Source organism: Homo sapiens, chromosome 8 (genome assembly GCF_000001405.40).
Source record: "Homo sapiens chromosome 8, GRCh38.p14 Primary Assembly".
Classification (NCBI taxonomy): Eukaryota; Metazoa; Chordata; class Mammalia; order Primates; family Hominidae; genus Homo; species Homo sapiens.
The window spans coordinates 105784282-105808632 of NC_000008.11; the positions used below are offsets into that span (position 1 = coordinate 105784282).

The 24351-nt window shown below is 39.0% G+C and overlaps 1 protein-coding gene and 1 long non-coding RNA gene across 12 annotated transcripts in view, besides 1 other annotated feature; one reads left to right on the plus strand and one right to left on the minus strand.

Moving 5' to 3' along the window:
- ZFPM2 (zinc finger protein, FOG family member 2) overlaps positions 1-20258 on the plus strand; it is a 486102-nt gene extending 465844 nt beyond the window's left edge. For all 10 annotated transcript variants that reach the window (NM_012082.4, NM_001362836.2, XM_047421634.1 and 7 more), the window contains 3 exons: positions 4437-4643; positions 14443-14667; positions 16766-20258. In NM_012082.4, coding sequence (NP_036214.2) covers positions 4437-4643; positions 14443-14667; positions 16766-19257 — 2924 coding nt within the window. In that variant the 3' untranslated portion in view covers positions 19258-20258. The remainder of the gene's footprint in view (positions 1-4436; positions 4644-14442; positions 14668-16765) is intronic.
- The window catches only part of ZFPM2-AS1 (ZFPM2 antisense RNA 1), a 280094-nt gene that overhangs the window by 3872 nt on the left and 251871 nt on the right, over positions 1-24351 (minus strand). The window contains exons 3-6 of one of the 2 annotated variants that reach the window (NR_125796.1): positions 14044-14161; positions 3168-3315; positions 2786-2940; positions 781-936 (exon numbers count right to left, since the gene is read on the minus strand). This is a non-coding gene — a long non-coding RNA (ZFPM2 antisense RNA 1). The remainder of the gene's footprint in view (positions 1-780; positions 937-2785; positions 2941-3167; positions 3316-14043; positions 14162-24351) is intronic. The other variant, NR_125797.1, reaches the window with a different exon arrangement.
- Positions 17936-19135: an enhancer, noted in NCBI's record as "BRD4-independent group 4 enhancer chr8:106814445-106815644 (GRCh37/hg19 assembly coordinates)". NCBI's record gives its function as "activates an origin of replication core promoter dependent on BRD2, P300/CBP, MED14 and CDK7 cofactors, and independent of BRD4, by STARR-seq in HCT116 cells {active_cell/tissue: HCT116}" and the evidence as "EXISTENCE:reporter gene assay evidence [ECO:0000049][PMID:35650434]".

The following is a 24351-nucleotide window of genomic DNA, read 5'->3' on the forward strand; positions in this document are numbered from 1 at the left end:
TTCAGATCCACATAGATTGCTAGAAACTATGTCTGTTTTTAACTGGTCCACAATAGTTGGTGATCCATAAACAAATGCAACCTTATTCTTCTTTTCTAAAATGAGTTATCTGCCTCCAGTGAAGTGTAGACAGATTTGTTCATTGAATTCATAGGTGTGCCTTTTCTTTCTGGTGAGATTTCTTTCCTCTTGGATTTAGCAGGGCAGTAAGAAATGAGAAATGAGACTAATAACAGCCCCAAGTGGATGAAACCAAAACGATAATGGCTAACAATTATATAAACATTTATTATATGTTATTTATTATATGATTATATGTCAGGTGCTGTTCTTAAGCTTTCACATATATTAGCTCATTTAATCCTCATAATAACATCATGAGTTCAGCACTATCATCTTCTGCATTTTCAGGAATGAGGAAACTGATAGGTAGAATGCTTAGGTGACAAGTTCTAAGTCACATAATAAGTGACTTGCACCCAGGCAGCCTGGTTCCATTGCCCAAACATCCGCCAAGAGTGATCACACTCTGAAAATTTTATTAGCATCAGTAATTGAAGTTACGTTACAATATTTGGGTTATCACTTCCTATAAATGACTCCCTCAAGTTGTACGTTCTAAGTTCACCATCTAAAAACTCAGCCAAACAATTATAAAGAAGTCCAACCCTTGATTTTTGTGGTGCCATTCTTTTGATTTCCCTCTAACATTTAAATATAACCTCTTGGTACATTTTAATGATCTCATCTTCTCTGCACACTTCCTAAATGTTGAGATACCCCAAGTTTCTTTGGTGATCCTCTTTTCACTCCATACTCTCCCTGGGTTACCACATGAATGCAGAGAGCATCCATGGTCAATTAGAATGTGCTGATCACTTCCAAAATATTTTTTTTTCTTCAGCCTGTATGTCTTCTCCAAGTTCCATCTTCCTCCTAGATAAATTCACCAGAAGTCTGTCAGGTACCCCAAACTTTACATTTTCAAAACAGAATTCATTATTTCTGTGCATACACATATACACACATACAACAGACACACAACACACACACACGCACACGCACACTTGGACTTTGCAGTTGGACAGACAAAAGTGTAAGTCACAGTTCTGCCACTGACCCTGTGTTTGGACTTTGCAGTTGGACAGACAAAAGTGTAAGTCACAGTTCTGCCACTGACCCTAAGTTTCCTTTGGGAAACTTAGTTATCCTCTCTAAGCTTCTGTTTTCTCAAGTCTAAAGTTAGGGAAATATTACCTACCTCACAGAGTAATTGACAGGATTAAAATAGATGAATTACATAAACCACTTAGCTTATCAGGCCCAAAGAAAGAACTCCTGGCTGGACACCATGGCTCACGCCTGCAATCCCAGCACTTTGGGAGGCCAAGGCAAGAGGATTGCTTGAGCCCGGGAGTTCTAGACCAGCCTGGGCAACATAGTGAGACTCCATCTCTACAAAAAATATTTTAAAAAATTGGCCGGGCTTGGTGGCTCACGCCTGCAATCCGAACACTTTGGGAGGCCGAGGCGGGTGGATCACGATGTCAGGAGATTGAGACCATCCTGGCTAACACGGTGAAACCCCATCTCTACTAAAAATACAAAAAATTAGCTGCGCGTGGTGGCAGGTGCCTGTAGTCCCAGCTACTCGGGAGGCTGAGTCAGGAGAATGGCATGAAACCCAGAGGCAGAGCTTGCAGTGAGCGGAGATGGCGCCACTGCACTCCAGCCTGGGCGACAGAGGGAGACTCCGTCTCAAAAAAAAAAAAAAAAAAAAAAAAAAAAATTAGCCAAGAGTGATGTTCACGCCTGTAGTCCCAACTACTCACTGGGGTGACTTTTCTATAATTCTTAACTTTCACACCTCCTCATTTATAGGGCAATAATGATGTACCTGCCTGGTCCTGCCTACACATGTTTTTGCTGTTTTACCTCTATTTGTTCTTCATGAACTAATAAAAACATCACCTTGGATAGCTTGTCTAACTTCTCCAAGAAGTGTCAGTTACTCAGTCCTCTTACATTTTCTTTAGCATGAAGGAATGACACTCTTAATGTGATATTGTAATATATTTGCATATATGTGTGTATTCTAATTGTAGAGCTGCATGTGAAGCCATAGCGCCCAGCCTAGCATGCAGCAGAGATTTCAATGAATAGCCAATTAACGAATGATTTGAAAGATTAAATCCAAAGATAACTGACTTTCTTTTCAAGTCCAACAGTACATTTTCAGTCCAATTTAGCCGTTTAGAATGATACGCTCTGACTAAACCATCAAATGAGATAAAGTGATAAAGATAATAAATGTGAAACATTATTGGGTACATCTGAAAACAAATATATATTACAACTGCTGAGTCATTTAATGATGCACACAAATGATTTTTTGTTCACTTTTATTTGAAGTTAGTATTTTTGAATTTAATTTTACTTATTTACTAAATCTTTTGGTTCAGAATTTGAGCATAAATACTCTTGAGTCGTCCTATCTTATAGCTTACCACAGTGATAAAGATTATTTTTGGCTGGGCATCTTCTCTAAAACCTCAATTTCTCTTGGGCACCTGAGTCCAACTCTTTCTTTGCTTTTGTGAAAGGTACACATAGCTGGACTTACCAATAATGTAAAGTTAATGACTGAAGTCTAGTGACTCTGAAACACCATATGAACTAAACCTGAATTGTGGTTTCTTGTTGTGTCTCCCCTAGCTCTCCGTTACACAGCCTCAATAAACTGTATTTCAGTGGAAAGATAAGATGCAAATGATTAAATGATTACCTTGTCTACAGTTGCAAGTAGTTTGGATCTGAATGCCCATAAGGGAAGGAAGGCATAGAAGCTAATCGCAGAAGCCTTCAGGGGGGAGAACAGCAGAAATACCACCACTCACACTTTCATCGCTCCTCTGATTTCGACATGATATGGTTTAGCTTCTATTATTTGAAAAGAAGTAAATCAAAGCAAAATGAATCTGTTTTATTCAACTGTGGTAAACTTGTATGCTTTCAGATACATTCGTGAAAAGTAGTTGTTTTACTTTTCTAGCATTTTAGTGTATTTGTTTGTTACTTTGAAACTTTCACACAAATTTGGGGTCTGTAGTCTTAACTTTATTTTTTAACAATCATATACTCTCACAGATGGTGTTTTGTTTCCTTACCTTTAAAACTTAATCAGCTGGCTTAATTAATTGCCCAACGTTTCTCTAAAACAATGTTCTGATTCTTCTGTGCAACTCTGCCATATCATATACTGTTGTTATCTTTTCCACCAGATTTTTACCACAAGTTGTTTAAAAACCATGAGCTCTAAGGGTGGAAAAAATGAAGTGCAGTTGAAAAGACAGTTATGTTGAAAGATAAACAGAGCAATATGACTTATCAAAGTGGGTACAAGTTTTGGCTGCTTAATGAGTGCAATACACAGCCTTCCAATCTATACACAATGAAAAAAAAAAGAGCTTTATAACATATCAAGTATGCTGCATTATTTCAGGCATAACTGTATAGGATACATATCTAGGCCTGAGAGTGTAGATAACAAAATATAAGTGCTTTGCCTGTCTAAACATGTTAAATAAACGAGCATTCGCTATCACATTCCAATACATTAGATGTACTTGCATAGTTAATTTTTCTTTTTAATGCACAACATGTGATCGTTGACATGCAGTGCCAGAGTATATCTCAGTGTTTGAAGAGACATTTCTTTTCATCTAAACAAATCTTTATTTAAATGAGCCTTTTTGAAAAGGATTTTTGGCATATCTTCATTTCAGGAAGTTCAATCAGGGTAAATGGAGATGAAGAAGCTACATTATACGGAATATTATATAAGTAAAGATTATTCAGCCAGAAAATGGTAGCAGACATAGCAGAGTACAACTACCTGAATTTCATTTTAATTTTCTAGATTTTAGGAGTTTTTGTTTACTTGTTCTGTAGTTTGGGCATTGGTATTGATAGGATGGAAGTATTTCATGGGGGGAAAAGAAGGAGAGAGATAAATAACTTTTTACTTTCATAAAATATAGAAAGAATAACTCCAAATGCTCATATGAAATAAATTTCAGCAGTTGGGTCTCTACTATGCTGGTTTTTAGGTACTGTCTCAATCTACTGGTAAGGTTACTGATTCAGGCAAGCCCCAGAAAGCAAACAATTGACAAAAATCTCTACAAATTATGTTTATACTGTACTTGATTCTTAGTCTCCTCCTACTTCTGGTCACTAAATCGTTCATTTAATGCAAGGAGTACAATTTTCCACACAGGAAGCAAGAGGAACACAGCTGTTGCCTTGATCAAACACTCCACTCCAGTAGAAACCAGTGTGAAAAACATGAGAAGGTGCTATGGACATCAATCTAGTTTACAACAGACTCAAGCATCCTATGTCAATTTTATCTTTTTCTTTTTTCTTCTTAATAGGGGGTCAGCTTTGGTGTACAACTACGAAGGCCATCTCTGAGGGTGAAGAGCTAATTGCCTTTGTGGTGGATTTTGACTCAAGGCTACAAGCTGCCAGTCAGATGACTCTCACAGAAGGGATGTACCCTGCACGCCTGCTGGACTCAATTCAGCTGCTTCCTCAGCAAGCTGCCATGGCTTCTATTTTGCCCACAGCTATTGTCAATAGTAAGTGCTCAGTGCTGTGTAGCCCAGCTTTAGAGGTGATGGGAATTTATGGGAGAAAAAAATGTCTACTGACAAGAAACCAGGAACAGACCTTTTTCCTTCAGTGTTGTGGTTTCATTTTATCTTTTTTCTTTTTAAATATTTAATTTGAGAAAATGATGTTACTTTTTTTTTTTATACTTTAAGTTTTAGGATACATGTGCACAATGTGCAGGTTAGTTACATATGTATACATGTGACATGCTGGTGCGCGGCACCCACTAACTCGTCATCTAGCATTGGGTATATCTCCCAATGCTATCCTTCCCCGCTCCCCCCACCCCACAACAGTCCCCAGAGTGTGATGTTCCCCTTCCTGTGTCCATGTGTTCTCATTGTTCAATTCCCACCTATGAGTGAGAATATGCGGTGTTTGGTTTTTGTTCTTGCGATAGTTTACTGAGAATGATGATTTCCAATTTCATCCATGTCCCTACAAAGGACATGAACTCATCCTTTTTTATGGCTACATAGTATTCCATGGTGTATATGTGCCACATTTTCTTAATCCAGTCTATCATTGTTGGACATTTGGGTTGGTTCCAAGTCTTTCCTATTGTGAATAGTGCTGCAATAAACATACGTGTGCATGTGTCTTTATAGCAGCATGATTTATAGTCCTTTGGGTATATACCCAGTAATGGGATGGCTGGGTCAAATGGTATTTCTAGTTCTAGATCCCTGAGGAATCGCCACACTGACTTCCACAATGGTTGAACTAGTTTACAGTCCCCCCAACAGTGTAAAAGTGTTCCTATTTCTCCACATCCTCTGCAGCACCTGTTGTTTCCTGACTTTTTAATGATTGCCATTCTAACTGGGGTGAGATGATATCTCATTGTGGTTTTGATTTGCATTTCTCTGATGGCCAGTGATGGTGAGCATTTTTTCATGTGTTTTTTGGCTGCATAAATGTCTTCTTTTGAGAAGTGTCTGTTCATGTCCTTCGCCCACTTTTTGATGGGGTTGTTTGTTTTTTTCTTGTAAATTTGTTGGAGTTCATTGTAGATTCTGGATATTAGCCCTTTGTCAGATGAGTAGCTTGCGAAAATTTTCTCCCATTTTGTAGGTTGCCTGTTCACTCTGATGGTAGTTTCTTTTGCTGTGCAGAAGCTCTTTAGTTTAATTAGATCCCATTTGTCAATTTTGGCTTTTGTAGCCATTGCTTTTGGTGTTTTAGACATGAAGTCCTTGCCCATGCCTATGTCCTGAATGGTAATGCCTAGGTTTTCTTCTAGGGTTTTTATGGTTTTAGGTCTAACATTTAAGTCTTTAATCCATCTTGAATTGATTTTTGTATAAGGTGTAAGGAAGGGATCCAGTTTCAGCTTTCTACATATGGCTAGCCAGTTTTCCCAGCACCATTTATTAAATAGGGAATCCTTTCCCCATTGCTTGTTTTTCTGAGGTTTGTCAAAGATCAGATAGATAGTTGTAGATATGCGGCATTATTTCTGAGGGCTCTGTTCTGTTCCATTGATCTATATCTATCTCTATTTTGGTACCAGTACCATGCTGTTTTGGTTACTGTAGCCTTGTAGTATAGTTTGAAGTCAGGTAGCGTGATGCCTCCAGCTTTGTTCTTTTGGCTTAGGATTGACTTGGTGATGCGGGCTCTTTTTTGGTTCCATATGAACTTTAAAGTAGTTTTTTCCAATTCTGTGAAGGAAGTCATTGGTAGCTTGATGGGGATGGCATTGAATCTATAAATTACCTTGGGCAGTATGGCCATTTTCACTATATTGATTCTTCCTACCCATGAGCATGGAGTGTTCTTCCATTTGTTTGTATCCTCTTTTATTTCATTGAGCAGTGGTTTGTAGTTCTCCTTGAAGAGGTCCTTCACATCCCTTGTAAGTTGGATTCCTAAGTATTTTATTCTCTTTGAAGCAATTGTGAATGGGAGTTCACTCATGATTTGGCTCTCTGTTTGTTATTGGTGTATAAGAATGCTTGTGATTTTTGTACATTGATTTTGTGTCCTGAGACTTTGCTGAAGTTGCTTATCAGCTTAAGGAGATTTGGGGCTGAGACAGTGGGGTTTTCTAGATATACAATCATGTCGTCTGCAAACAGGGACAATTTGACTTCCTCTTTTCCTAATTGAATAATCTTTATTTCCTTCTCCTGCCTAATTGCCCTGGCCAGAACTTCCAACACTGTGTTGAATAGGAGTGGTGAGACAGGGCATCCCTGTCTTGTGCCAGTTTTCAAAGGGAATGCTTCCAGTTTTTGCCCATTCAGTATGATATTGGCTGTGGGTTTGTCATAGATAGCTCTTATTATTTTGAGATACGTCCCATCAATACCTAATTTATTGAGAGTTTTTAGCATGAAGGTTGTTGAATTTTGTCAAAGGCCTTTTCTGCATCTATTGAGATAATCATGTGGTTTTTGTCTTTGGTTCTGTTTATATGCTGGATTACATTTACTGATTTGCGTATATTGAACCAGCCTTGCATCCCAGGGATGAAGCCCACTTGATCATGGTGGATAAGCTTTTTGATGTGCTGCTGGATTCAGTTTGCCAGTATTTTATTGAGGATTTTTGCATCAATGTTCATCAAGGATATTGGTCTAAAATTCTCTTTTTTGGTTGTATCTCTGCCCGGCTTTGGTATCAGGATGATGCTGGCCTCATAAAATGAGTTAGGGAGGATTCTTTCTTTTTCTATTGATTGGAATAGTTTCAGAAGGAATGGTACCAGTTCCTCCTTGTACCTCTGGTAGAATTCGGCTATGAATCCATCTGGTCCTGGACTCTTTTTCATTGGTAAGCTATTGATTATTGCCACAATTTCAGCTCCTGTTATTGGTCTATTCAGAGATTCAACTTCTTCCTGGTTTAGTCTTGGGAGAGTGTATGTGTCGAGGAATTTATCCATTTCTTCTAGATTTTCTAGTTTATTTGCATAGAGGTGTTTGTAGTATTCTCTGATGGTAGTTTATATTTCTGTGGGATCGCTGGTGATATCCCCTTTATCATTTTTTATTGCGTCTATTTGATTCTTCTCTCTTTTTTTCTTTATTAGTCTTGCTAGCGGTCTATCAATTTTGTTGATCCTTTCAAAAAACCAGTTCCTGGATTCATTAATTTTTGAAGGGTTTTTTGTGTCTCTATTTCCTTCAGTTCTGCTCTGATTTTAGTTATTTCTTGCCTTCTGCTAGTTTTTGAGTGTGTTTGCTCTTGCTTTTCTAGTTCTTTTAATTGTGATGTTAGAGTGTCAATTTTGGATCTTTCCTGCTTTCTCTTGTGGGCATTTAGTGCTGTAAATTTCCCTCTACACACTGCTTTGAATGTGTCCCAGAGATTCAGGTATGCTGTGTCTTTGTTCTCATTGGTTTCAAAGAACATCTTTATTTCTGCCTTCATTTCGTTACGTACCCAGTAGTCATTCAGGAGCAGGTTGTTCAGTTTCCATGTAGTTGAGCGGTTTTCAGTGAGTTTCTTAATCCTGAGTTCTAGTTTGATTGCACTGTGGTCAGAGATATAGTTTGTTATAATTTCTGTTCTTTTACATTTGCTGAGTAGAGCTTTACTTCCAACTGTGTAGTCAATTTTGGAATTGGTGTGGTGCTGAAAAAAATGTATATTCTGTTGATTTGGTGTGGAGAGTTCTGTAGATGTCTATTAGGTCTGCTTGGTGCAGAGATGAGTTCAATTCCTGGGTATCCTTGTTGACTTTCTGTCTCGTTGATCTGTCTAATGTTGACAGTGGGGTGTTAAAGTCTCCCATTATTAACGTGTGGGAGTCTAAGTCTCTTTGTAGGTCACTCACGACTTGCTTTATGAATCTGGGTGCTCCTGTATTGGGTGCATATATATTTAGGATAGTTAGCTCTTCTTGTTGAATTCATCCCTTTACCATTATGTAATGGCCTTCTTTGTCTCTTTTGATCTTTGTTGGTTTAAAGTCTGTTTTATCAGAGACTAGGATTGCAATCCCTGCCTTTTTTTGTTTTCCATTTGCTTGGTAGATCTTCCTCCATCCTTTTATTTTGAGCCTGTGTGTGTCTCTGCATGTGAGATGGGTTTCCTGAATACAACACACTGATGAGTCTTGACTCTTTATCCAATTTGCCAGTCTGTGTCTTTTAATTGGAGCATTTAGTCCATTGACATTTAAAGTTAATATAGTTTTGTGTGAATTTGAACCTGTCATTATGATGTTAGCTGGTTATTTTGCTCGTTAGTTGATGCAGTTTCTTCCTAGTCTCGATGGTCTTTACGTTTTGGCATGATTTTGCAGCAGCTGGTACCAGTTGTTCCTTTCCATGTTTAGTGCTTCCTTCAGGAGCTGTTTTAGGGCAGGCCTGGTGGTGACAAAATCTCTCAGCATTTGCTTGTCTGTAAAGTATTTTATTTCTCTTTCACTTATGAAGCTTAGTTTGGCTGGATATGAAATTCTGGGTTGAAAATTCTTTTCTTTAAGAATGTTGAATATTGGCTCCCACTCTCTTCTGGCTTGTAGAGTTTCTGCCGAGAGATCCGCTGTTAGTCTGATGGGCTTCCCTTTGTGGGTAACCCGTCCTTTCTCTCTGGCTGCCCTTAACATTTTTTCCTTCATTTCAACTTTGGTGAATCTGATAATTATGTGTCTTGGAGTTGCTCTTCTCAAGGAGAATCTTTGTGGTGTTCTCTGTATTTCCTGAATCTGAATGTTGGCCTGCCTTGCTAGATTGGGGAAGTTCTCCTGGATAATATCCTGCAGAGTGTTTTCCAACTTGGTTCCATTCTCCCCATCACTTTCAGATACACCAATCAGACGTAGATTTGGTCTTTTCACATAGTCCCATATTTCTTGGAGGCTTTGTTTGTTTCTTTTTATTCTTTTTTCTCTAAACTTCCCTTCTCGCTTCATTTCATCTTCCATCGCTGATACCCTTTCTTCTAGTTGATCACATCGGCTCCTGAGGCTTCTGCATTCTTCACGTAGTTCTCGAGCCTTGGCTTTCAGCTCCAACAGCTCCTTTAAGCACTTCTCTGTATTGGTTATTCTAGTTATACATTCGTCTAAATTTTTTTCAAAGATTTTAACTTCTTTGCCTTTGGTTTTAATTTCCTCCTGTAGCTCGTAGTTTGATTGTCTGAAGCCTTCTTCTCTCAACTCGTCGAAGTCCTTCTCCGTCCAGCTTTGTTCCATTGCTGGTGAGGAACTGTGATCCTTTGGAGGAGGAGAGGTGCTCTGCTTTTTAGAGTTTCCAGTTTTTCTGCTTTGTTTTTTCCCCATCTTTGTGGTTTTATCTACTTTTGGTCTTTGATGATGGTGATGTACAGATGGGTTTTTGGTGTGGATGTCCTTTCTGTTTGTTAGTTTTCCTTCTAACAAACAGACAGGACCCTCAGCTGCAGGTCTGTTGGAGTTTGCTAGAGGTCCACTCCAGATGCTGTTTGCCTAGGTAGCAGCAGCGGTGTCTGCAGAACAGTGGTTTTTCATGAACCGTGAATGCTGCTGTCTCATCGTTCCTCTGGAAGTTTTGTCTCAGAGGAGTATCTGGCTGTGTGAGGTGTCAGTCTGCCCCTACTGGGGGGTGCGTCCCAGTTAGGCTGCTCAGGGGTCAGGGGTCAGGGACCCACTTGAGGAGGCAGTCTGCGGGTTCTCAGATCTCCAGCTGCATGCTGGGAGAACCACTGCTCTCTTCAAAGCTGTCAGACAGGGACATTTAAGTCTGCAGAGGTTACTGCTGTCTTTTTGTTTGTCTGTGCCCTGCCCCCAGAGGTGGAGCCTACAGAGGCAGGCAGACCTCCTGGAGCTGTGGTGGGCTCCACCCAGTTGGAGCTTCCCGGCTGCTTTGTTTACCTAAGCAAGCCTGGGCAATGGCTGGCGCCCCTCCCCCAGCCTCGCTGCCGCCTTGCAGTTTGATCTCAGACTGCTGTGCTAGCAATCAGTGAGGGTCCGTGGGCATAGGACCCTCCAAGCCCGGTGCAGGATATAATCTCCTGGTGCGCCATTTTTTAAGCCTGTCGGAAAATCGCAGTATTCGGGTGGGAGTGACCCGATTTTCCAGGTGCCGTCTGTCACCCCTTTCTTTGACTAGGAAAGGGAACTCCTTGACCCCTTGCGCTTCCCGAGTGAGGCAATGCCTCGCCCTGCTTCAGCTCATGCACGGTGCGCTGCACCCACTGACCTGCGCCCACTGTCTGGCACTCCCTAGTGAGATGAACCCAGTACCTCAGATGGAAATGCAAAAATCACCCGTCTTCTGCGTCACTCACGCTGGGAGCTGTAGACTGGAGCTGTTCCTATTCGGCCATCTTGGCTCCTCCCCCTCATTTTATCTTTGTGTGTGTGTGTGTGTGTGTGTGTGTGTGTGTGTGTGGTCAATTGTCCTGGGAGTGTAGAAAGAACCCTTAACTGCAACCATTTCAAGTCAGATTCCTGAATGTCACACACACACACACACACACAAAGCTGATGTTCTACATGAGTTCAATAATATTCAAGGCTACTTAGCTGTGAGAAGGCGAGCACCTTTCATTAATGCTTCTATAGTAGAAAAAATGTGGTATTCTTTAAGGGCCGTAGACTTAAAAACTTGAAAAAAAGAAACAAAATACGAAATCAAAGTTTGATTAGATATACTAACAAACAAAAAAGAAGTGTATCCTGGATAAATCAAGACATCTGCTAATGCAAAAAGGTTAAAAAAAAAAAAAAGAAAGAAATGCATGATAAGCTTAGAACACTTTATATGGAGAATTTTTAAGTACACCCTGGCAAATTTACCTTTGTGATTTTACTTCATAAAAAAGAAATTGAACTTAACTTAGTTTGTATTTTTGTGTCACAGAATGACACTTCATATGACACAAAATCAGTCGTCTGGAGTCCCAAGATCTGTGTTCTAGCCATATCTGATTTTTATCTAGCTCTATGAAAACACATGAGTAGCAGACACATCTTAAGAGGAGAATAGATTCTGAAGTTAGTAGGTAAGCAAAAAATTGCATCTAATCAAAAATATACTTTAAAATCTCTGAGACTCTGAATGAGGCAAAAGAGAAATCCAGAGACACAATGATGTCTTGATATTAAAATAAAATATTTAACTGTAATTAGATTCTTGCTGTAATATCATCCTTTAGATTAAAGAAATTATCAGATGAGTCTGAAATTACTGTGCATTCAATCAATGATATAGTACTTCCCATCTAAGCTAGTATTATTGGATTTCCTTATGGTAAATGTACTTATTTTCTTTCCTGTATCTTTACTTTGATTCTGATAGTGAGGAACTGGAAATAACATGGCCCAACCTGAATTTGAGGCAAAAGAATTTTATTGCCAAAGAAAGATTCTAGGAGTATCTGATGTTAATTCTAATTATAGTGGAGAGTGTACTCTATTTGCTTTCTGTAGCAAGACAGCTATTTATGTCAAATAATTCAGCATAGATGCAGAGAGCTTTTGCTTTCATTCTGAAATTAGTGAGTTAAATTCATCCTGCTTAAATGGACCCTTTACTAAACTGTGTAGCCTCATGAATAGTGTAAATGAAATTAACTTGGAAGGGAAGGGTTAAATAATAAACAGTAGTAGCATATAATTAATTTTAAAATTAAATGTTAATTTGAAACTCTATTATTATACTTACTATCCTTACTTCCCTTTCATTCACTAGAATTTGATCATTAGTTTTTCTCCTTATCGCCTTTAATGTTGTCTCCCTGAGCCATCTCCTTCACTACCATGGGCTCCACCAACAACCATAAATAACAGTTCACAAATTATAAGATCAGCCATTTCTGCAGAGTTTTAGGCCTCTGTTGCCATTTTTCCCATGTTCTTCTGTATTTCTTACAGAAATATCAGATTCCACATGTCTAACGTGAACATGTGCCACTGTTTGCCTGGCTTAGTCCCATTGTACATTTTTATCTGGCATCCCTCTGGATGGTGACTCCTTTCCTCTACGAAAGTCCTGAGTTTGCACAATACAAGGTCAGATTTGGTCACCCTGTACATGCCCTAGCCTGAAGACATCACCTCTCCATCCTCTGTTCCCTGTGTAGATGAATGAAGCCATTACTGACACAGAAGCTTGGGAGCAAAGCAGAGCCTTATTCGTCCATTCTAGAATCTAATCACCAAGCATTGTTCATGACTTCTAGTCAGTTCTACTTCCTCAGCATAATTCTTCCTCTCTGCCACCCTTGCCATGGAGGCATTATGGAAGAGTGATTAAGACCAGATTCCAATCCCATTTCAACCACTGATGCGGTCATGGATGGGCGAGTTACTTAACACCAGTCTCCTCACCTATAAGTGGATGAAGGGGGAAAAAACACACGTGAAGAAATTTACCATGAGTGAACACATGAAAATGACACGTCATAGCATGACCTGATAAATATGGTACCAGTATTAGCTACAGCTCAAACCCTGTTGTGTTTCCCTTAGAGTACTGCAGTTACCTCCCACCAGTCAAAACTCTTTCTTCCAAATTCACTACCTTCAAAACTAGACTCCACTGCTATGATTCTGATTATGCGATAATATCTGATTATGTCAGTGTCTTGCTTAAAATGATTCAGTGATGCTTCGTAATCATTAAGACAAAATCTAAAACTTGTTGAGAGTCTGCAATTCTTTCACAGTCTATCCCTGCCTCCTACAGCCTCTTCTCTCCCAGACCTATCATGCTCCGTGCCTCAACAGTACAGAAAAGCCTCCCAGCCTCCCAGCTCCTCTCTCAGGCTCTCATGGCTTTCCCTGAGCTGCCCATTTGATCAGGATGATCCAACCCCTCTTCTCCACCAAACCAGCTTAATTTCATCCTTCATACCTCAGCTCAGGCTGAGCTCATCATCTTCCCTCTAAACCCATCTCTAATCTCCTCCCTCCACTCCTGCCATCAGCCTCTTTTCCATGCCCTGGGGCATTCCTCAGATACCTCCATCAGAACAGTAATTAGGCTGTAATGTAATTAGCTGACCACATGTCCATCAACCCAAGGAGACTGTATGCTTCCTAAGGGCAGCTGTTTCATCTTTCATTTTGTTTTATACCCAGCCGAACACAGAGTTGGGCACATAGTAGCCACTCCGTATTTACTGTGTTAAAAAAAAATGGTGTCAGGGGTTGACATCAGGGCTAACATTAGTTCAGCCCTTACATCCTTACCTTTTAATCAATCAGATAATTTACATCACTATAAATGAATATTTTTTCTAACCATAAATACAATTTAAAATAAATATCTTAGGCCAGGCAGTGGCTTACACCTGTAACTGCAGCACTTTGGGAGGCTGAGGCAAGGTGGATCACCTGAGGTAAGGAGTTTGAGACCAGCCTAGCCAACATGGAGAAACCTGTTTCTACTAAAAATACAAAAATTAGCCAGGCGTGGTGGCACTCACCTGTAATCCCAGCTACTTGGGAGGCTGAGGCAGGAGAATTGCTTGAACCCAGGAGGTAGAGGTTGCAGTGAGTTGAGATCGCACCACTGCACTGCAGCCTAGGTAACACAGTGAGAATCTGTCGCAAAAAATAAAATAAAATAAAATCAATATCTTGTGTTTTAAATGTTGGAGTCTCCTCTTTCTCTAGAGTCTGTGGGAAGTTAAATTGCAGAGTACAACATTTCTTTAAAAGTCGAGTCCTATGCTGTAGAACAACACCAAAGACTGTTACTCATCTGATTGCCCAATTAAGAACCTGAGAGCGGAGTCTGAGAAAAATTGAACTAAATGCTGCTTTACCCACAGTTGGTTTCAAATGGACAGCAGCAAATGTGTCTCTTGTGTTTTTACCTGCAGAGGATATATTCCCTTGCAAGTCCTGTGGCATCTGGTATCGGAGTGAGCGGAATCTGCAGGCCCATTTGATGTACTACTGCAGTGGGAGGCAAAGAGAAGCTGCTCCGGTGTCAGAGGAAAATGAAGACAGTGCCCATCAGATTTCCAGCCTGTGCCCCTTCCCACAGTGCACCAAGAGCTTTTCAAATGCTCGAGCTCTAGAAATGCACCTGAATTCACACAGTGGTAAATGCCCCTTTTGTTTCTTCTGTTGCTCCAGAAGACTCTGTTATTTTTATAAATATATATGCATTACATGTATACGTCTATATCTGTCTATCTGTAGCTATCTATAACATCAAAATCAAACTTTCTGGGTCAACCAGTGTGATCTTATGCCACTTATACTCAGCATATGTTACTCAAAGGACTTGGGTCTGAATTCTTTTCTTACAAATTCAGAGGCCAAATCATTCTATTTGTTCTCAACTGAGGTTTTAAAAAAGCACATTATTTTAAAAAGAAAATCTCAATACCCTTTGAATATTGCCATTTATTGCTTTAGTGTCAAGCAATCTTTGGAAACTGATCATAGTGTTTCCTATATGGTAGGGAAGAAATAATAGGTACATAAATATAAGTGTGTGCTGAATTGAAATAAAGCTACTCTATTGATAGATCTAATTAAAATTACAGTTCAGGGATGTTTACTTTTAAATATGGATCAGTAAAATATTTCTGACTTCCAAAAGATGCATCATAACAGCTTAGGTGGTTTTTATGACATTAAACTACTTTTAGTACTATGTTTTAAAATCCCTTAAGAAAAAAATAGGCTGAAAAACAAATAAGCTTTTTAAGGCCCTCTCAATAGCAAGGTGGCAACTGTTTCTATTTAATTTGGAATTGTATGCCAGCTATTTTTAGTTTCATTTCATAGCATTCTAATTATCATATTTTTTAAAAAATGAATTTATTCAAATGTACAGAATTCTATTAACTTTAAATAATTTTAGGTACATTCTTACATGGGACAAACTAGGGACTGAGAATCATAGTTTTTCAGCACCTATAATACAAACCTTGTAGGACACCTCTGGGTGACTTTCTTAGTGGTCTTTGCCTAGATTAAATAATTTTAAAATGGAAACACATGTTGAGTTTTAAGCTACTGTTCTAACCTCCAGTGCTCTAGTACAGTTCAAGCTTTTGTCTTTGAACCTGTAAAAGTAGGTCATTTCCTTTCTGCTCATCCTCTTTCCTCTCCTTACAAATGAGCTATCTTCATATAGATAATAAAGCAGGGGAAGCAGAAACATATTGGTTGTCTCAGATGGTGAGTAAGGTCATGTACAAAACAAAAAGAACAGAATACAGGGGTCCTTTAAGCTAAATGGAAAAAAAAATGAGTATTAGATTCATTAAGGAGAAAAAGAGACAAGGATAGGTAGTCCCCTTTTATGACTACAGGACTAGGTACCTCTGCCATGTTTTCAGCTTATGAATATAAAAGGCAGTCTTATTCTAGTCCAGAGTACAGAGGGGATAAGCCAAGCCTGATTTTACCATATGCTGACCAATGGGAGCTAGAGTCAATCTTAGTGATGCTTACCCACCACAGTCAATGGTAATATTCAAAATATTTAATCATGGACTAGAAATAGGCAGTGATCAATCAGCATGGATGCCAATGCAAAATGACTATATTAGTGTACTGGTAGACTATATTAGTCTACCAGCTAAATATCAGCCCTGGATAGAGATAAACTATGTTCAGCAAAACTACTGCATAAAATTTTAAATTTATATTAATATAAATTAAGATTATATTAATTACTTTACAAAATGGTTTCTATTTGGCCTCTTTAGAATATAACCTATATGTAGTGTACTGAGAGTTATTTGATTTGCATTGTTTTCAATAGCAACCCTAATGAATGCTCACTTATTCCTAATGTAGAGGCTAATGTTATAGTGAGGTTATTAGATTAGTAATTATAAAATCCAAGGCTTAGGCATGGCTTCATCACTTAATAGCTTTATTAACATAATCAATTCCTTTAGCCTCCTTCAGCGTGTTTCCTCATCTATAAAATGGAGACACTGACACTTATTCCACTTTGATGCCATAATATTCATGAAAGTACTTTGAAAACTATAAAGTGCTATTAATATTATCATACACAGTAAGAGATGTCACAAGAAAACAGTTAATATCACGAATGAAATTTTGAAAGATTTCATTCCTATTGTGTTGCAAACATTAGGTCATTAGAAAAGGTCCCTGTCATTCAAAAACCAACACACATGTTTCTCATTGTTCTTATTTTGTATGTCTCTCTAGGAGTGAAAATGGAAGAATTCCTGCCCCCTGGTGCTAGTCTAAAATGCACCGTCTGTAGCTACACTGCTGATTCCGTGATCAACTTTCACCAACACCTGTTCTCCCATCTCACTCAAGCTGCCTTCCGATGTAATCACTGCCATTTCGGCTTCCAGACTCAGAGGGAGTTATTGCAGCACCAGGAGCTCCATGTCCCTAGCGGCAAACTTCCCAGAGAAAGTGACATGGAACACTCTCCAAGTGCAACTGAAGACAGCTTACAGCCAGCCACAGACTTATTGACCAGAAGCGAACTTCCCCAGAGCCAAAAGGCCATGCAGACTAAAGATGCGAGCTCTGACACAGAGCTGGACAAGTGTGAGAAAAAGACTCAGCTCTTTCTCACGAACCAGAGACCAGAGATACAGCCTACAACAAATAAACAAAGCTTTTCTTACACAAAAATAAAGTCTGAGCCCTCTAGCCCAAGACTTGCCTCATCTCCAGTTCAGCCTAATATTGGGCCTTCTTTCCCTGTGGGCCCTTTCCTATCTCAGTTTTCTTTCCCCCAAGATATCACCATGGTCCCTCAAGCTTCAGAGATCTTAGCTAAGATGTCTGAACTGGTGCATCGGCGACTGAGGCATGGCAGTAGTAGCTACCCTCCCGTCATTTACAGCCCTTTGATGCCCAAGGGGGCTACTTGTTTTGAGTGTAACATAACATTCAATAATTTGGATAATTATCTAGTGCACAAAAAGCATTATTGCAGCAGCCGATGGCAGCAGATGGCTAAGTCCCCAGAGTTCCCTAGTGTGTCAGAAAAGATGCCTGAAGCTTTGAGTCCCAACACTGGCCAAACCTCCATAAACCTTCTCAACCCAGCTGCTCATTCTGCTGATCCTGAGAATCCACTTCTTCAAACATCTTGCATCAATTCTTCCACTGTCTTAGATTTAATTGGGCCAAATGGGAAGGGCCATGACAAGGACTTTTCCACTCAAACTAAGAAGCTCTCCACCTCCAGTAACAATGATGACAAAATTAATGGAAAACCTGTTGATGTGAAAAATCCCAGTGTCCCCTTAGTGGATGGGGAAAGTGACCCAAATAAGACTACCTGTGAAGCTTGCAACATTACCTTCAGCCGGCACGAAACATACATGGTCCACAAACAGTATTACTGTGCTACACGCCACGACCCTCCACTGAAGAGGTCTGCTTCCAACAAAGTGCCTGCCATGCAGAGAACCATGCGCACACGCAAGCGCAGAAAGATGTATGAGATGTGCCTACCTGAGCAGGAACAAAGGCCTCCACTGGTTCAGCAGAGATTTCTTGACGTAGCCAACCTCAATAATCCTTGTACCTCCACTCAAGAACCCACAGAAGGGCTAGGAGAGTGCTACCACCCAAGATGTGATATCTTTCCAGGAATTGTCTCTAAACACTTGGAAACTTCTCTGACGATCAACAAGTGTGTTCCAGTTTCCAAATGTGATACTACTCATTCCAGTGTTTCCTGCCTAGAGATGGACGTGCCCATAGATCTCAGCAAAAAGTGTTTATCTCAGTCTGAGCGGACGACCACGTCTCCCAAAAGGCTGCTGGACTATCACGAGTGCACTGTGTGCAAGATCAGTTTCAATAAGGTAGAAAACTATCTGGCCCACAAGCAGAATTTCTGCCCGGTTACTGCACATCAGCGTAATGACCTGGGTCAACTGGACGGCAAAGTGTTTCCGAATCCAGAAAGCGAACGAAACAGCCCTGATGTCAGCTACGAAAGAAGCATAATAAAATGTGAGAAAAATGGGAATTTGAAGCAGCCTTCCCCCAATGGAAACTTATTTTCATCCCACCTAGCAACCCTGCAAGGCTTGAAGGTCTTTAGTGAAGCTGCTCAGCTCATTGCTACAAAAGAAGAAAACAGACATTTGTTTCTTCCACAATGCCTTTACCCTGGAGCAATAAAGAAAGCAAAAGGAGCCGACCAGCTTTCTCCATATTATGGAATCAAGCCAAGTGATTATATTTCTGGTTCTCTTGTCATCCATAACACTGACATCGAGCAAAGCAGAAATGCAGAAAATGAATCTCCTAAAGGCCAGGCTTCCTCAAATGGGTGTGCTGCGCTGAAGAAAGATTCTCTGCCATTGTTGCCCAAAAATCGAGGAATGGTAATAGTGAATGGTGGACTGAAACAAGATGAGAGACCTGCTGCCAACCCACAGCAAGAGAACATTTCCCAGAATCCTCAGCACGAAGACGACCACAAATCTCCCTCGTGGATCTCTGAGAACCCATTAGCTGCCAATGAGAATGTCTCACCAGGAATTCCCTCAGCAGAGGAACAGTTGTCTAGTATAGCAAAAGGTGTGAATGGTTCCAGCCAGGCTCCAACCAGTGGGAAATATTGCCGGCTATGTGATATCCAGTTCAACAACCTTTCAAACTTTATAACTCACAAGAAGTTTTATTGCTCATCACATGCAGCAGAACATGTCAAATGAACTAACTAAACATCAGTCACCTTTGGTATCAGTGTTTAGTATGTTGTTCTAACCAGTCCAGAAAAAAAAATAAGCTGTTTGAATTACATCTGGGCAATCAGGAGATAATTCATTATGGCTGAGTTGAAGACTTAAGGTGTAATTTCATTACAGTCCATTAGTAAAGTGTATTATTGGTGCCATTTTCAAAAAAATTAATTTATTTTACCAGCAGTATTCATAGCTGTGGTTATGTTATTTTTTATTTAAAAACTTTATATTAAAGTCATTTGTAATGTTATTGTATAGTTATTGTGTAGCACATATGGTTTGCACTGTATAGTAGCTTTTAAAGAAAATAGTCACAATACAGAAAAGCATTTTAGAAATAGCTTCAAAAGCACTTGTGTATCTTGATTTTTTCTTATATGCTGTTGCAGATATATGTATATGCTAAAATATAACTTGCAAAGATGTTCTAAATACACATGCTATAAGTTCGCCTTAAGATTTCAATTCTTGGATAATCAGGCTCTGTTTGCACTTTATATTTTAGCAGATACAGTCTCTTAGTCACTAGGCTTTGCATTTGTATGTAGCTGTATGTTTCCGTCCATTTTCTTAATCCTGAACCTGTATGTTAAATGAAGATGGCAATTTTTTTCTTGTATAGTACTTGTATTTTCTTTCGCTGATGCAGCTCTGTCTCAATTTTTAAACCTTTGCTGTTAAATGCAATACTTTATAAAGAATGAACAAAATTACTGGAAGCAGTATTGTAAGTAATGAGGTAGTATTAATCAGTTTTATCTTTTGAAAGGCACAGTCTAAATCGAAACCCTAAACTCAATGCTGCAAGTATGAATTTAATTCATATATAAGATCTATTTAAATATAAGAGTAGCAATACTGCACCTGGTGATCACAAAGATAATGTTCTACTTCTGATAGAAATAATTTCTCAACAAATGTTGTTACTATGCATGTATATGGATGGAATAAAATTCCAGATTGTTGGAGAAGTTTGGCACACTTTTTTTCCCTTCAAAATAGAAGAGAAGCCCTAAATCTATTCTTTGTGATGAAAATAGTTTCCAAATGGCACCGAATGGCTGTAATAACACAATGACAAATCAGTAAAGAGAAAGATTGTCCTTTACATACACCTAATTAATATAACTTGCTCTATTAAAATGAACTAGAGGCTCCAGGCCACGAAACTAGAAAAGTTCTTCATTATAACTATGTATAATTAGCAGAATCTCTCTGTCTGCCTTTCCCCATCATCGCTGCAGCACAGATAAAGAGCAATTTCATGCATGTCTACAAAACTTACAAGCCATATGCACAAGAATCAACACAAATGTTGGTCAAATGCACCCAAGATTCAGATGAAATTTACCAGAGAGAGAGGTTTGCATTTTGAGCAATGGTGACGTGGTATGGTAAAGTGACTCTGATGAGTAAAGATGTGCAAATCTAATGCTCAGGATTTGTAAAAGATTGATTTTGTACATCTCATTTGTATAATCCAGGAGTTTGCATATTGAGGGTGAGTGGAGAGCAGAGAATGTGGGCCTAATGGACCAGCCAGAAGCATTGAGAGTGACTTGGCAGGCATGATGGTCTCCTGCAAAATTAGAAATCTCCTGACTTGGAAAGGCAACTACCCACTTGAGGCTAAGAAGATACACTCTTTACAGATAGATAGGTTGTGATGCACTATTGTTCATCCATATTGAATCTGGTAACATAACGAGCATAAATGTTGGCCTTAAGCATAACATACAAATACTGTGACAAAACATAAAAAAAAAATACTATGTTGTCAAAAACATGTCTCCACTTGCTTGTTGAGAATAACTATTTTCAGAATTGAAATCACGGAATTAACTGATGCCTTCCATTTCAGTCAGTGATTAAACAGTGAGGTGAACAGGACTAATGTGCTTAATAGTGTGAAACAGGAATCTCTCAAAGTATGAGATCCTTGGGGATCAATGGAGATGTTCAGAAAGACCTTTGTGGTGCACAGGTTGGAATTGGTAGGGCTGAGTATTCTTAAGAGGACTTTCTTCCCCAATCTCTTTTTCGTCCTCTTTCCTCTTCAAAAAGAAAGAAAGAAAAAAAATTAGCCAAACCGACATATATTTATTGATTACGTGGCTTGTATCCACTATTTAGGGGATGAAGGCAAAGAAATATAACACATGACTATTTCCTCAAAGAGCTTATAATTTGATTCAATTTAGTGCTTCTCAACACTTCTCTCATTAAAATTGCCTAAGGAACATTTAAAAATGCCAGTTATTTATATAGTTTTGTACACTGGGCCTTACCCTAGATCAATTAAAGAAACACTCAAGCCTGTGAGCTCTGAGAATCTGTACCTTATAAAACCTCTCCAGGTGGTTCTAATATGCAAACAGTGTTGGGAAATATTGAAAGGTAAATTAGAAGAAAATATGAAGGGTAAGTGAGACTAAGTCTAGTAAAAGAACAAAAAGATAAAAGGAAGCCAATATGGGATGAAAGAGTTGGGACAGGCTGCACAAATAGGGTAGGTTCTAGAGAGGTGGATACCATGGTAAGGAAGGCTACCTTTAGGTCGCCCTGAGATATTTGTACAGGGTATCCAAAGGGTGTTTATTTCAAGTATCGTTTGTATAGTTGAAAGTAAGTTCTAGTAGCTGTTCACAGAAAAAAGGACATAGCATAGGTTGAAGTAGTGAGGTTTGGATCAGAACTAGACCCTGGAGAGTGTAGAGGAAGAAAATGGTATTTCTACATGTGGCAATCACTGTATGTTACAGTAGAAAAGTGGAATGCAACTGGCATGTGAGGGTGAAAAATGAGTAAAAATTTTTCAAAAGAATAGAGTTTAGATTGGAAAGAAAAGGAAGCTGAAGTGGGAGGATTGCTCGAGCCCAGGAGTTGGAGACTGCAGTCCCTTATGATCACACCTGTGAATAGTCACTGTACTCATGCCGGGCAATGTAGCAATACCCAATCTCTAAAAAATAAAAAATAAATTTAAAAAAGAAAATAAAAGTATAAATAGGGATCTGGTATCACAAGACCTTGAGTGGCAGACTAAGGTTTATGGGCTTGCCTTATACTTTGCCTCTTAAATACATCATCAAATGAAAACTATGTTTAGGAATGGTAATAGAGTAAGTATGAGGTCTAGATGCTACACAGAGGACGCTTATTTAAAAGGCCATAGTGATGTTTTCAAATGAAGGGGGGGAAATGAGAGCCTGTACCAGGTGAATGGAGAAGCACAAGTGTGGGTACAAGATTACATAATGAATTAATGAGTAACCAACAAGACTTGGTACAAGTTAGTGAAGATGAAATCAAACAAGAAGTCAAATATCTTCAACCCACACTGATTAAAAAATGTCCCATGTTCAATAAACATTGAAGTCAAAATATTACCGTCAGTTGAGTAATCTAGTTGAAGGTAGTAAAAAGAACAATGGTTTATATCGGTTCTTCAGATTGTTGTATTTCAATCATCTATAGAATTCTAAAGCCTACTAAATGGGAATAGCCTAGTTTTCAAGTTTTTTTGTTTGTTTGTTTGTTTTTTAACAAAGCAATCCTAGGGTATTCTGTGTTGTTTCCCTTGACCACAATGGAGAACCTTTGAATTAAACAGAGAGAGTGGGAAGTTGTGTGCAAAATTAATTAAGCTGGCAGCAGAATTTAGTATATAATTGGTCTTTCAATTGCTTCTTTCTAATATGTAACACATATGAGTGTTTAAAACTACTATAATTTAAAATAATTCAGCATATGTGTTTTCATATTGAAATTAAAATGGAAAATCAAGTTGTTACGGAATCTGTGAGCACTATTTGAAAACCTTTTAGCCAGTGAGAACGCCCTCATTTTCAGGCAAAACTAAGGGTCAGAGATTTTAAGTGCTCAAAGTTATAAAGCTAATAATTGAGAATCAGATACCTGGGTTTTGCCCTCCGATTACCTGCTGACATCATGTTATTTCCTTCATTAAAACAGAAGGCAAAAACTAAGGCATGTGATGATATCAATGTTAGCCAAATGTCTTGGTCTCCAATCTGTGACTTGAAAGCAAGGCAACGTTTCCCTTTAAATGCCTAAATTTCAATGACTTAAGCCCCCACCAGCTTGTATGCCAGAATATGGACTAATAAGCTATTGAGATTTTCCCAGTGTGGTGGCCCTTATGAGACTGCTCTTGAATGGGCTGAGGGGGGGTCAACACCACCTTCTCCAGGTAAGGACAGCTGCTTTCACACTCAGGTTTCAAGGGAAGAGACACTGCTCTCCCCTTACCACATAATCACCAGCATCAGACATGCCTCACTCTTAATAACACTGTCCATCAGTATTTCCTTAAAGTTCAGGAAAGATAGAAGAGAAAAGCAATGTACAGGATACCCCTCAAGTACTCCAGTGACCTACATCTAACCCCCAGCTTTCTTACAAGATGACCACCTGAACTCTCTGCACCATAAGTGGATCCACACCTCTTGTGCTAAGGTGTCATAAACAATTTCACAGTAGGACCCAAAGGGAAGCAGTTTTTCGCTCCTCCTAGTCACAAGTTCACCTCTGGAATAATCACTTCCTGCCTTAATACTGACTCCTTTAAGATGCCCCCATCTTATCCTTCTAGCCACACCACATTAGATTCCACAAGTCATCAGAGCACTCAGGCCAAGGGCTGCATATCTTAAAAACAGAGGCATCAGTAGTCAGTCCGATATATTTAGAGTGAATTCACTGCCTTTGAGGCCTCTTCTCATTTTCTTTGAGAAAGTGCTTAAAGAAGAAAATATATAAAATAGGTCAATGAGAAAAAGTTGAAAGGACAGGCAAAGGGTAATTTAAATCCATACTTAGAAGGGAAACATTTCTCTAATGAAAACTGTGAAAACAAAGCAAAAACAAAAAGAACTATTCATTTCATAAGCAACTTTTTTCTATTAATTTATAGAATGGTTGAAGTTCTTGAAGTTGCCATATCTCAAACATTTTCATTCAGAAACATGTCTATTTGTTCCTGTCACCCAGTAATGTTAATAAATATAAGTTGACTGAAAATGGTGGTTTTCCCATAACTAA